General features: G+C 35.3%; 1 long non-coding RNA gene across 2 annotated transcripts in view; it reads left to right on the top strand.

Moving 5' to 3' along the window:
- LOC151760 (putative uncharacterized protein) overlaps nucleotides 1-14,827 on the top strand; it is a 183,623-nt gene that overhangs the window by 86,651 nt on the left and 82,145 nt on the right. The window lies entirely within an intron of this gene.

Below are 14,827 nucleotides of genomic sequence, written 5' to 3'. Positions count from 1 at the left end.
CTTCTGGGTGGCAGACAAAGTTTGCCAGCTTGCCAACATCCTGCTTTCATGAGAACAGTTTGCTGTTTGCTCATATAGCCTCCAGCGGTATACTGAGTTGATCATGACCCTCATTCCTTCGGCCTCCAACATTTGCTCACGAATACTTTCTTCTGTTTGATGAATTCTGCTGTTAAGAGACTCTGATGCATTTTTCCATATGTCAATTGCATTTTTTAGCTCCAGAAATTCTGCTTGACTCTTTTTAATTATTTCAATCTCTTTGTTAAATTTATCTGGTAGGATTCTGAATTCCTTGTCTGTGTTATCTTAAATTGTGTTGAGCTTTCTCAAAACAGCTATTTTGAATTCTCTGTGTGAAAGGTCACATATCTCTCTCTCCAGGATTGGTCCTTGGTGCCTTATTTAGTTTATTGGGTGAGGTCATGTTTCCTGGATGGTCTTGATACTTGTGGATGCTTGTCAGTTTCTGGGCATTGAAGAGTTAGGTATTTATTGTAGTCTTCACAGCCTGAGTTTGTTTGTACTTGTCCTTCTTGGGAAAGCTTTCCAAGAATTTAAAGGGACTTGGGTGTTGTGTTCTAAGTCTTTGGTCACTGTATTAGGGGCACCCTAAGCCCAGTAATACTGTGGTTATTGGGGACTTCTAGAAGTACTCCCTTGTTGGTCTTGAGTAAGAGCTGGCAGAATTCTCTGGATTAGCAGGCTGAGACTTTTGTTCTCTTCCCTTACTTTTCTCCAAAAGGAGTCTCATTCTCTGTGCTGAACTCCCTGGAGCTGGAGGAGGGGTGCCATAAGCACCTCTGTGGCCAACACCACTAGGCCTCTGCTGGGTCAGATATGAAGCCAACACAGCACTGGGTCTTGCCCGAGGCTGGTGGTGACCACTGTCTGGCTACTGCCTATGTTTACTCAAGGCCCATGGGCTCTACAACCAGCAAGTGCGGAATCTAGGGAAGGCTTGTGTCCTTCTCTTCAGCGTGGAGAGTTCCTCTGGACCATGGGAAGTTCCAGAGATGCTGTCTGGGACCCAGGGACTGGAGTTGAGACTCTGAGGACTACCTGGTACCCTATTCTACTGTGGCTAAATTGGTATCCAAGTTATAAAACAAAATCCTCTTTACTCTCCACTCTCCTCTCCTGAAGCAGAAAGAAGGATTCTCCCTTGGAGCTGCAAGCTGAACTGCCTAAGGTTGAGGAAGGGTATCAGAAGCACTCCCTTGGCTTCCCTTGCTCGTGTCTCACTAGGTAATGTGCATCCCAATTCCACTGGCTCTGAACCCAGCACAATACCAAGACTTGCCCAGGAATTGCAGTTCTTGTAGCCCAGACTGCTTTCAAGTTTATTTGGGACCCTAGAGCACTTTAGCACGTGGCACGGGGGCTTCCCAGAACTCCAGTTCTGACTGGTGGCATGGACAACTTGCCTTTGGCCTGGGCTGGTTTAAATGCCCCCTCCATGGGGCATTTAGTGTGAATAGTTGTTCAATATTGTGTCACTGTGTGGGGAATGATTGCTGGAGGCTTCTGTTCAGCTATCTTGCTCTGCCCCCTCTACATATATTGTTTAATTCTGACTTCCATTACTAGAATGGAAACTCCATATCATAGGTAAGAATCTTGGTTTTGTGATCTGATATAGTCCAACAGCCCAGGGCAGTGCCTAGAACATGGTAAACACTCAACATTATTTGTTAAATGAATAAATCAATTTAAAAAGAAGGTTTCTACACATGCAAAGGAGAGACACAGTAAAGGGACATCCCTAGTAGGATACTCTATCTGGGAAAACGTAAGCATTTTAATCAGAATCTTTTGAAGATGTTGTCCCCTCTTTGTTGGCCGTCTTCATAGGAGTGACTTTTGAATCTTTAAGGCACATAGGTCCATCCTACATATCTCTTCTAATGGTTTGGTTTACCCAAGCAAGCCTATCTTGATGTTACACAAAAGCCACTTCGTAACTAAAATCTCTTTAGAGATTTTCATAGTCCAGTGCCAAACCATCACGGTTTTTGTTGGTCTAAGGAATTTTTCTGGACAAAATTCTTGACTGTCAATACTGAGTGATCAGGACCCTGAGTTATGCAGGCCTGACTATGCGAAGCTAGAGGAAACACTTCTTACACTCATCTTTTAGAGCTTACCAGCAGGGTATTTGGCCTAAAGCAATAATGTTTTTTTTCTAAGTCCTTTGAGGAAAAATCCAGAGAAAGTTCTGTAGGCAAAGACACTGTTGTTCCTCATTTTCTTTCAATTCACTGTGAATATTAAAGTCTGATTTAAAAATTTTATAAGAAAGTTTTAAGAATGTTTTATTTTAGATAATAATGAAAAACTGGAGGTTCCACTTCTGCTTAAGGATGTAGAAAAATGCAAAAAAATGTTGCCCCCATACTAACAAGAAGAAAAGTCCAGATATAATCTAAAAAAAATCTTTTCTTAAACTCATCATATAACTGAAGTTGCAAAACAGTTAAGGGAATTGAATCCCAATAAGTATCAAGCCCCTCTGTGCAGGGATAGGGCACATGATCTGTTTCATCTTTAGCACAGTATGGGAGGAAGAGGTGGCTTCCATGAAAGCAGGGAAGAGAGCAGCTAAAATTTCAACACATTTCTAAATGCCAAGTGTGGGCTAGCATATCAATTTAGAATAACTGGGAGCTCCATTCACAGTCATTTACAAAATCTTCTCCATGGGCTTACACTGGATGCTCACAAGAAAGATTGGAGGTCAAGGAAAAAGAACAATAATAACTGTTCTTGGAGCTGCCAGAAACAAGAGGAGGTTTGTTTGCAAGGAGATAGAGGCAGGCATGCTAAGAGGGCCCTGTTTCCAAGGCCCAGGTGCACAGATTCTGCCTAACACTAAGGCTAGACCAGAAGAACGGGGCATTACTACAGTTCCCAGCATTAGCTTAGCACCAAATAATAAGCAATAAAAGTCTACTGCTGAGGGAGGGGGCAAGCATATGGAGAGACATGCCCTCTGAGGCATGTGTGTTCAGGGTCTGATGAAATCTAGTTGTAGAGCAGGGACACTGAGAAGAGCCCTTCAGCACTTCCATGCCCCACACTACACGCAAACCCATCACTGGAGAAATATGAAGATTGGTGTGCTGAGAAAATGGCAGCAACAACAATATTCAAACAGGGCTTTTATATTGGTTGCAGAAGAGTTAAGAAAACATAAATCTGATGGTATAATTTTTCAATATTTTCCACATTACATCTGGATCAAGGCTTTTGATCTTAAAAAAAAATCAGTGTTTCTGTTTGAGATTTTTGGTAACTCCACTGTTGGCAGTGGAGGCCCTCCTATAGGAGGTAACTAGGAAAACAGTAGGTTCAGGGGAGGAGGAATTAAGAAATTATCCTTCTGCACTCATCTCTTTGGTCCTCAGTTATATCAATCTTCAGCATTCTATGGTTCTAAATCAAATGTTAAGGGAAGAATCTAATTTTTGGAGTCCCATGCCTGCTTTCACCTGTTGCTGCAGTTGTCGTGGTTTGATTTGGTATCTACTGCCTGGTCCTTGCACCAATATTCATGATATTGAAGCCAGACTAATGGCTATGGCCAGGGTGAATTATAAGATAATTCACTTGTCATCATTTCCAGTGGAATGATTTTTTTCAAATATTACGTGCTGGAAAACATGTACAGGCAAATTTGGCTTTATAAAACTTCTGCTAAGGAAATCAATGAAATATAGACAATGTTAAATGTTAAGGTTATTTTTTAAAGCAATATTTCCCTAGATTTTCCAGCACATTCTCTAGCAATTCTTCTATAAATTCTGTAAATATTCATAAAAGGCTGTAAATAGTTGAAGAGATAATTCATTTTTCAAGGTTAAATTTACTTAGAATGCCTCCTTCTTAGAAAGCCCTCCACTTAATATTCTGCATGTAAACATAATAGCACAGTTAGGAAACACAAACTCCAATATGTTGATTACAATATAATTCCCATCACTTCATATATGAATTGCCCAAGATTTCAACTTCAACTTTAAATATAACATATTTAATATATAAAAGAGAGAGAGGAAGAAAACAGTAACAACATTTACTCATACTGTTCTTCAGAATTTCAAATGAAAATTTGCTGATTACTAAATCAAAGTTGGAATTCAAGATTACACTGAATGTGTACAGACACAATTTTTCTAAAAAAAGCAACAACCACCAAAAATAACTGTTTTGTATTTAAATAATGAGTTAAAAGCAACTGACAAATTTGGTTTGTTTATAAATTATAACATAGGCCTGTTATGGGAAAAGCAGAAAAAATACCTCTATCTTAAATCAATTTCCTTCCTATTCTGAAGAAGCTGGAAAAAAGACAACACAAGCAAATTAACATTTCTTTTGCTTGTGGTAATGATAGTCCTAAAAATAAAGTCAACTCTACCTATATTAGAACTTTAGTACAAGAATATGATGATTTGTCAGTGTTACAGAAGGTAGTCAGAAGAATAAAAGAAAAGAAAACCCATGGCATCCATCCTCCTAACCTATCTTCAGACATCAGTTTTCACCAAGTAAAAATTGGTTGAGAGTATACACTCTGTTTTTATCATGTCCTTAGGGCAAGGCTGATCTTTTTCAATGTCTATATACCGACATAAGCAAAAATGTACAAATATATAGATATACAATATTTACATATTTATTTTTTTTTTGCTTCCTAAGATAGTCTTTGATCTTCTTGTTAAGGTATTTTAACCTGTAGAAAAATGTAGTAGACACTTGATTTGCTGAGGCCCACACAGTGCTTTAGAGCTAGCTCTTGTTATAAAAGCCATTTTCTTCAATAGCTAATTGTCACACAACTTCCGAATTACTAGAACTTCAACTTTATTCCAGTGTAATTTGAACATCTAGCAGATTGTATAAATCTTATCTTGTTTTTTTTTCCATGCTCTCTTTTTTTTAAGTACAGGAGCAATACATGTTCATTATATATAATTCAAATATTACAGAATTTGTCTCCTATATGCTTTCCCAAAGACATTAATAGTTTACACCAGTGGACTTTTAATTTTGTAGCTTAAAGCAATGTGATGATAGTCTGGGATATAGAGAGAGATGATATTCATAGACAATTAGAATACTTGTTAGGTTTTTAAGATGCAACCACAATGTATGTGGCTCTAAAGTTAAATATCTATCTTCTGACCCTTCTTAGACCATATTTTGAGTATATTCTTTCCTTACAAATTATGATATGGCTATTTTCAATCCAGTGCAAAGAATAGCTTCAGGCTGAGCTCAAAATTTCAATGATGCTATTAGTAGTTTTCCCAAAGGAATCCATTTTGTTTGAATTTAGATCTTCGCTCAACTAAAAATATCTTTAGTTTACTTTCCAAATGATGAAAAAATATATAGGCCAAAAAGAAAACACTGGAACTGAAGGAGTTTTGGCTTAGTATCATTCGTTTAAAATTTACTAAAGTTTATTTAAATTAATTATATTTAGTAATTTTATTATACTACTTATGTACAGTAATACCTTACCTACTTATAACTTTGCCAGTAACCTCACCTCCCCAGAATGTAGACTGAAACAAAAAATAAAACCAAAATGTATGACATGAACTAAAGCTCTTGTGGGAAGAACTAAAGTTTTCTTGTGGGAAGGTTTTAAATTAAATTTCCTTAATTTATATACCATTATTCAGATTTTCTTTCTTTCTTTCTTTCTTTCTTTTTTTTTTTTTTTTTTTTTTTGAGACAGAGTCTCACTCTGTCGCCCAGGCTGGAGTGCAGTGGTGCAATCTTGGCTCACTGCAACCTCTGCCTCCTGGGTTCAAGCAATTCTCTGCCTCAGCCTCTTGAGTAGCTAGGATTACAGGTACCCGCCACCACGCCCAGCTAATTTTTGTATTTTTAGTAGAGACAGGGTTTCACCATCTTGGCCAGGCTGGTCTTGAACTCCTGACCTTGTTATCCACCCACCTCAGCCTCCCAAAGTGCTGGGATTACAGACGTGAGCCACCACGCCCGGCCCTCTTTTTTCTTTCTTTTTTGAGACAGGTTCTCACTCTGCAACCTAGGCTGGAGTGCAGTGGCATGATTACTGCTCAATGTAGCCTCAACCTGCTGGGCTCAAGGGATCTTCCCACCTCAGTCTCTTGAGTAGCTGGGATTCCCGTTGCCTACCACCACACCTGGCAAATTTTTGTATTTTTTTTAGAGATGGGTTCTCACTATGTTGCCCAGCCTGGTGTCAAACTCCTGGGCTCAAGCGATCCTCTTGCTTCAGTCTCCCAAAGTGTTGGGATTACAGGTGTGAGCTATAGCACCTAGCCAGATTTTCTTTTTTTTTTTTTTTTTGTATTAGTTTGGACTATTTGTCTTTCAAGAAATTAGTTCATTTCAATGATGTTATCCAAATTATTGACATAAAGTTATTCATATTTCTGTTTTTTTTTTTTTTTTTGAGACATGGTCTCATTCTCACACCCAGGCTGGAGAGCAGTGGTGCAATCATATCTAACTGTAACCGTGAACTTCTGGGTTCAAGCAATCCTCCCACATCAGCCTCCTGAGTAGCTAGTACTACAGGCACCTGCCACCATACCCAGCTAATGTTTTTATTTTTTTGTAGCTATAGGGTCTTTCTATGTTGCTCAGGCTGGTCTCAGACTCCTAGCTTCAAGGGATTCTGCTGCACCCGCTTCCCAAAGAACTGGGATTACAGGCATGATCTACTACACCTAGCCTATAATATTTCTTTATTATATTTTTTATATCTGAGTTACGCCATGAGATATCCCCTAATATACACTTAATATACTCTTATACTTTGATATGGGTAATTAATGTTTTCTATTTTTTTCTTAATCAGTCTAACTAGAGATTTATTGGTTTTATTAATCCTGACAAAGAACCAAATTTGTTTTTGTTGAATTCATTTTTAAAAAATTGGTTTCTCCTCGGTTTTTATTATGTTCTTTCTTCTACTCACATTAAATTCAATTTGTTCTTTAGCTCCTTAAGGTAGAAGCATAAATAATGAATTTAAAAAATCTTTCTTTTCTAATATAAATATTCAAGGCTATTATTTTTTCTCCAAGCCCTTGTTTAATTATATTTCATACATTTGTGTATATTTTGTTTTCATTATCATTTAATTCAAAATGTAAAAAATTGCTGTTATAATTTCTTCTTTGCCCTAAAGCTTATTTAGAATTATGTTGTGTAATTTCTAAGCATATGCATCTACTTAAAGCATCTTAATTTTTTTCTTCTAATTTAATTCTACTGTAGCCAGAGAATATGATGTGTATTGTTCTGATTCTTTGAAATGTATTTCTGTAAGGTCAAGTATATTCCTTGTCTTAGTAAATATTCCATCTGTATTTGTAAAGAATTTGTATCCTCCCGTTTTTGAATATAGTATTCTATAAAATCAATTAGTTTAAGTTGGTAGCTACTGTTGTTCAAATCTTCCATACACTTTACACTTTCTTTTTGCCAGTCTTGTTTTTCTGTCAATGCCTTAGGAGAAGTTTTAGAACCTCCCACTCTAATTTAGCTATTTCTATTTCACTGTTTTGATTTTTGCTTTATTTTGAACCTTTGTTACTAGGTACATACACATTAACAATCGTTATGTCTTTTTGGTAAATTAATTCCTTCTTAATTATCAAATGTCCCTCTATATCTCTACTACTTTTTGTCTCAATGTCTATTTTGTCTGCTATTAATATAGTCACTTAAACAGCAGCTTGTCACATTTTCATGTTTTTTTTCCTCCTTATTCTTTTACTTTTAACCCTCTATGTCAACTTATTTCAGTGACATTTCCTTTAAACAGAATGTATTTTTATCTCACTTTTTAAATCCAGTTGACAGTCTCTGCTTTTAAATTTGTATGTTCAGTGCTACTACATTTAACATGTTTATTGATATTGATAGATATGGATATTATAACATTTAACTATGCCACTTCTCTTTTTATTTTCTATTTGTCCCATTTGTTCTTTGTTCATTTTTTCCTTCCCTCTCTTTTTTAGACTAATTCATATTTATAAGTATTTCATTTTATCTCATTTCTTGGCTATGTAGTTTTGATATAACTCTTTGGTTTCTTGTTTGTGTATGGTCTCTGCAAGATTTACTATATGCAACCATAACTTATAACAGTCTACCTGGAATTAATATGCTATCATAGGATGCATAATTTAAGACTCTTAGAATATACTTACATTTATCCTCTTCTAGATTATTGTGTCATTGCTGTTATTCATTTTACTTGTACTTTTATATTTCCTACAATTAATTTTAATTATATTTTATTTTAAAAAGTAAATTTTCTTTTAAAGATATTGAGAAACAGGAAGAAAATGTTTTCTGTTTACCTGCATATTTACCATTTCTAGTGCTCTCTTTCCTTGGTATAAGTCTGAGTTTTTATCTAGTCTCATTTCACTTCAGACTAAAGAACTTCTTTTAAGATTTCTTGTAGTACAGATTAACTGATTTAAAAAATGTATCCCTTTCTTTTCATGCCCATAGCCATGGCCACACCTCCAGGGTCATTAGATCCTGCATTACCAGGAATCCTTCAGTTGGCCCCTAACTTGTCCTTTTATCACTAATGTCATTTTCTTGGTATCTACTCTTCACATTTCTGCCAGAATCATCCTTCCAAAATGTGAGTCTGATCCTATAAGTTTCTCCTTAAAATCTCCAATGGCTTCCAATAGTCTTCATGGTAAATGTCAAACTCCTAATTTTGGCATTCAAAATTCTTTATTTTCTAGTCTATGCCTACTTCTCCACTACTATCTCTTGTAATTCTATGACCTGTACTCCATTAAAGTGCCAAACCAACCCCTTGAGTTTCTAGAATTCCAGCTGTAACTCGTTTTTAGTTATGTAATTTTAGCAACAATGAAGACAACCATTTTGTTGTATACAATAGAAGAAAACAAGAAAACCTTAGGTTATTAGGCAAAATTACACAGTACTGTCTAAAATACAGAGCAGAAGGGAACAGAGATTTCTTGCAAAGAAATCTGTCAAAATTTCTCTTCACTTAAATTATCTCTTTTAAGACAGGTAGGTTCTGCCATTTTGAGTAAGGATCAACAAGTCTTCACCCATTGTTAACTCTTACCTCTGTTACAAAAGTTAATAATAGTCTCCATTTGTTATTTGCCATGATTTGGTACCTTTATTTATATCAGTAAACTGAGAAGTGAAGCAATTTGCCTCAGGTAAAACAGAGCTGGTAGATAGTATTTAACCTCGGCCCTGTATGACTATAAACCCTATAAGTATCCTACTAAACACTCTGGAGTACCAGAATCCCTTCTGTTTTCATGCAGTAGACTATTGTTAACCTAGATAGTTGTCAAAACTATCCTACTTTTGTTGATAACCATGGATCATAAACACAGAACCTAATGTAAGAATTGTTGCTACCTGTTCAGTTTTTTTACTAGTGAATAACTCCATCAATATTCCAGTTTTCTTGTTTGTAACATTTTATTCATAATCATTCCTTACAGGAGAGAATAAAAATTATTTGCAAGATATTATAAGATATTTCTAATACAAACAAATGCCTTATAAGCCCCTTTGAGTTGCCTGACGAAATGTGTAATATGAAGACAAGTTTTTAGTGGTTGAAATGTATTTTCCACAAGTCTCACCAGTTGTTTTAAACACAATCTCATGGTAACAGTTTGTTCATCCAAGATTAACATAAGCCAATATACACATTTGTAGAAAAATGTAACCCAATTACTTTGAGGAACACTGACATATTTTAGATCAAAATGCCAAAAAAAAATGAATTTTCTTAATAATTAGTTTCAAAAATGACGTTTTTAAGATAAAAACTGTTCTGAAAAACACCTCTATGCCCTTATGTTACATCTATTTTACCAGATATTGAGTAACATAAGTGGGCAAAAATAACAAGAGCAATTCATCTCAATAGTTATAGCTCACATTTTTTTTCTTGTTGACATATGAGGCAAATTGCCTTAAAGGTCATTAACCACGTGTTCTGCAGATAAATCTCACAACTGTTGCTGTTTATCTTGGCAGCACTGAAAAATATTAGAAAGCTTTGATTAAAATTCTAAGTTTCTGTAAAGCCCTAAAACTTTAAAATTTTAAGCTATGAAAGGATTTATTCAAGTTTTTATGTTGTAAAATCAAACAATAGCAACTTCTGGCTCTTTTACCCACTCAAATACAAGTATCCCTTTCTTGTTCTCGAGAAACATCTAAAGATATATAATGGCTAAGAATTCAATATGCATATGTGATATTTATTAGAACTTTGGGAAAAAGCCTTGAGAAATATACCCATTATATTACTTTATTTGTTATTCAGAAGATTAAAGCAAAATTAACAGACTATAAGGCTAGATGAGTAAATTTTAACAAAACATTTTGGAGGTGAACACTAGGCGAGAACTAGCTAAAAATTATCATAATTTCAGATGTTGACTGCATGAAAAAAATTATAGCAAATGAATTAAAGCATTTTAGAAGTTATGAGAGCTGATAGGTAGAAGGAAATTTAGAATAGATCAATTCTAGACTTAAATCATATGTGTAAAATGTGTTAGAATTTGAAGTTCTTATTTCATCACAACTTGGTGTAATCTTTCATACACATAGTTCTTTAGCTCCCTGGGCCTGGAACACAGTCTCAATTCTTCCTAAATTTTTAGAGCCTACTGATTCTTCAACATCGAGGTCACATATCACTCAATCCTTCATCTGAACAGTCATATTATTTCTTGCCTAGACCATTCATTTGGACTACCTGGGGTTACTCCTGAACTATTATTTAAGAGTCTAATTTAATTCTTCAGGTTTTCATGCAGAAAGCAAATCCTTTACTTATTGCTATGCCTCCTATCACCTAACCTAGTAGAGAAACTTTAAAATTCACTGAAGCCTGTCAAGTAAACATGGCTGATGAAACAAATGTGTTAATCTCTGCTCCCTCTCAAATTTCCAGCAAAATTACAAGAAGGTATAGAAAATATACTGATTCATCCATGACAATACAATGAAAATTGAAGAGAAGACTGCAACAGGCAAGAAAGAGAAAAGTTAGAGAGGAATATGACAAGAGGATGAAAGAAACAATAAGGCACAGGAAAATGAATCTTAAAAGCAGGCAGAAGGAGATAAGGTGCAAACCTATTGATGTGTCAAACCATGGAAATATTGAGATATTAGGGGTACCAGTTATCAAGAAGGAGGAGTATGATGGGGATTAAAAACAAAGGAATTGGTTTGAAATATACATAGATTTAAGATATGAATTAAAATTAGGCAGACATCCAGGCCTTCACCCCTATCTGAGAAGCATGTGCCCATCCTTCTGCCATCTCCAAAGGAGATGAAAGGTTTGATTTCACAGAAATGTCACCATAAGGACTAGACTTGTGGTTAGCAGTCACAAAGGGTAAGTTGTCTAAATCAAATCAGAATAGATTAAGTGAAAGTGTACAATATATGATGAAAACACATCTTTCCCCCTTTTCCTGCACAGCTCTCAGAAAAATCAGCAGTCACCTCCTTCCTGAGGCAGGAACCGGGAGGGTACTTTTCTGAGGATATTGAAGAGCCAAAGTGAAACTAACCACAGATATTGACATGTTGTATACCCTAAAAAAGGAGCTAGCTGGCCAATCTGCACAGTGAAGTAAATATTCTTAAAAGACTCACCCACGTATGGAGTTTCCTATAAGCTTTATTGTATATCACTTTCAAATATGAATAAATCATCAAGGATAACCTGACATTTGAGGAACTCCTCCCAACAAGAAAGAAGATAAAACAAAGAAAAAGAAATTCACAAAAATAGAAGCAATACAAGAATCAGAGAAAAATTAAAAACAAATTATGATTCTCATTCTCAGAAAAAAATGAAATGATGTCATTTTCATTAAAGAACTACATGCTAAAAAGGTAAATTACTGAAAATTAAGAATGAAGTTGTAGAAAATAAAACATGATACCTAAAATAATAAAAAAAATCAATATGCTACTTGGAAGTTAAATCAAGGAAATTTCTTAGAAAATAGAATGAAAAGGTAAAAAGGAGAGAAAAGCTTAGAAAAATCAAAGATCAATCCAGTAGTTTTTATAGTGGATGAGAACACATCCCCCATCTATTATAGATGACTAATAGATGATCTATAAAGAGACAATAAATAAAATGGGAAAAAAATCTCAAGAAAATAATACAAGAAAATTTCCATTAATAAAAGGCATAAATCTCGAGATTGAAAGGGACTTCTGAGGGATTAGAATAATTAATTTACAAAAACAAAAAGCAGAAGAAAAAAAAGTAAAATAGACCCAAACCAAGGTATGCCCTCATGAAATTCATACCAGCAGGATAATGAGACAATCCTAAAATTATTCACAGAATGAAACAGATTGCATATAAAAGATTGGGATTAAGAATGCCATCATATTTTTCCACAGCCATCATCAGAAGGAATTCCTTAAAAACTCTGATAAAAACAATTTTCATTCCCCAGACTCAATCTACAAACAAATTATAAAGAAATTGTGAGAACACCGTAATGTCTAAAAACGTTTACTCTCCTACCCTATTTTTTAGGTGGTTACTCTAAAATGAGGGGTTAATTCCAAAACCAAAACCACCAAACAAAAACAAGACAAATCTGGAAATAGGAGATTCAACACTAGAGAGGTGAAAGCACTTTCCATGATGATGGCAAAGAAAAGTGCCAGGATGAGAGCTTTTGTGCTTCAAACTTAGCAACAAGCTAAGAGAAGGTAGAGTGACTTTGGAAAAGCATAGAACTCATGGATATTTAAAAAAATAAATGTGACTATATGGAAAAGTGAAACAAGGAATTGTTGGAAGCTGCAAGTAAAGTTATAAATGGACCAAAAAACGTTAAAGATGCACAAAAAAAAGGAAGAAACTGTTAACTTTAGGGAAAACTGAAATTAAGAAAGAAAATGTAACAGTACATGGTCTTGCAGAAAACAATGTAGATACTAAATACCAACTTTATAAAAAATATATTTTTAATGGTATTAGGTGGAGAAACAGAAAGCAGAGTAAGACTGCTATAGTCTTCAAATACGATAAAATCAGAAGCCTAACTTGATAAATCAGGACATACCATATTAGGCATATTATTTTTTAACATGAAGTTAAATGTCAGAAAAAAGATCCACAACCTTGTAAGTGACTGTATGGTAGGATAAGTTAGAGGCAGGGGACTGCTGTTTCCATTACAAGCCTTTAAATTCTGTGCATATATTACTCTGATAAATATAAGAATTAGAAATTAATTATTAAATATTGGGATTTAACTTATTTACAATAAGAAGGTTCATTCTATTTTACCGTGTTGCCTATGGTGTCCAAAGGTCTCTGATTCCCTAAAGGAGGGGCAAGGAAAAGAGAGGCACCTATTTCTCCTTTCACCCTGATATATTGCTTGGAGTGTAAACTGCAGGCCTCCACTCTACCTCCATACCATGATCTCAAACATCAGCCCAGAGAGAGGGCCCTTTCTCCTTCCAAATATTCTTTAAAAAGGCCACACTGATGTTCTCAGAGGCAAGGCTCAGGATCCCTGTAAGGAACAATCTTCATTTTCAGCTCCTCTAGTTTCCTGGAGGAAGACTTTTCTTGTAACACTTACGGTATCCTTTACTTCTCACTGGCTCCTCCCTGAGCAAGGAAGAAGGACTCGATCATATTAAGGGATAGGAGAGGAGGAACTGGGCATGCCTGTTTCTGCTCCTTCCAGTCATCTTGGAAGTGCGCACTTCTAAGGATGTGCAAACCGAAGCCTGCTCCCCTGTGTTGTACCAGGTATCGTCTCTTACCCAAAGGCTCTGAATGGGGAAGTCTAGCCGTTTATCCAGTGCTGCCAGTGACTGCGTGGGGTTAGTCTGCTCATTTCTGCAGTTCACAATGAGGAAGTCCATTACTGCCCCATACCTCTACTGGAGCTTTCAATAGTAGTAAAGGTAATGTTTTGGTTCCATTAGCCAACTATCCAATTGTCCGTAGTTATTATTTACGGGGCCAGATCTAATTCAACATTAACTCTGTCAAATATCTGACTGTGGTGTCTTTGTGTTTCTTGGTTCTCCCGTGGGATTTTCTGTGGTCAACTTGGTGGCAGTGTATAAATACCATTCTAGTAAATTTTAAATGTTATGGTCTTATGTAAAATTTCTTTGCATTATTGGGATTGTAAAGTCAACTACTTAATGGAAAAAATGAAGAAATTAAGTTAAATTTTCTTTATTTGCAAGCAACCAACGTTGAAAATGTAAATAAAAGCTGTCAGTTGAAAGATAGAATAACATTTACATTCTTCTCCTGGGAAAACATGAAAATTAGGAATTTGAGGATTCAGTTAAGGGAAAAGATAATGAAAATGTCATATATTTTCATATTGTATCCCAAGAGAAGTTGGGATTGTAATATTTCATATTGTATCCAAGAGAAGTTGGTCATCTTAAATTAGGTAACTGATTTATATAACAAACATACTTTGTAACATAGAATTATTGAGCATCTCCTGTGTGCCAGGCATCTTCTGTGTACCAGGCACTGTTTTAATGTTAATGATAGAAAATTTGATGCTGATGATACAATAGTGAACAAACAGACAAAAATCCCGGCCCTTGTGGAGATTACTTTCTGATGGAGATTACTTTCTAAGAGAATAAACCATAAGTAGGTTAAACATATGGTATGTTAGAAAATAATGAATGTTATGGAGCAAAAATAATTTATCTAATTTTGGTCATTGTAGAAAATAAAATA

This window comes from Homo sapiens, chromosome 3, assembly GCF_000001405.40.
Source record: "Homo sapiens chromosome 3, GRCh38.p14 Primary Assembly".
NCBI classification, from domain to species: Eukaryota; Metazoa; Chordata; class Mammalia; order Primates; family Hominidae; genus Homo; species Homo sapiens.
Note: the sequence above shows the minus strand (reverse complement) of the source record. Positions and strands in the feature narration are given on the sequence as shown.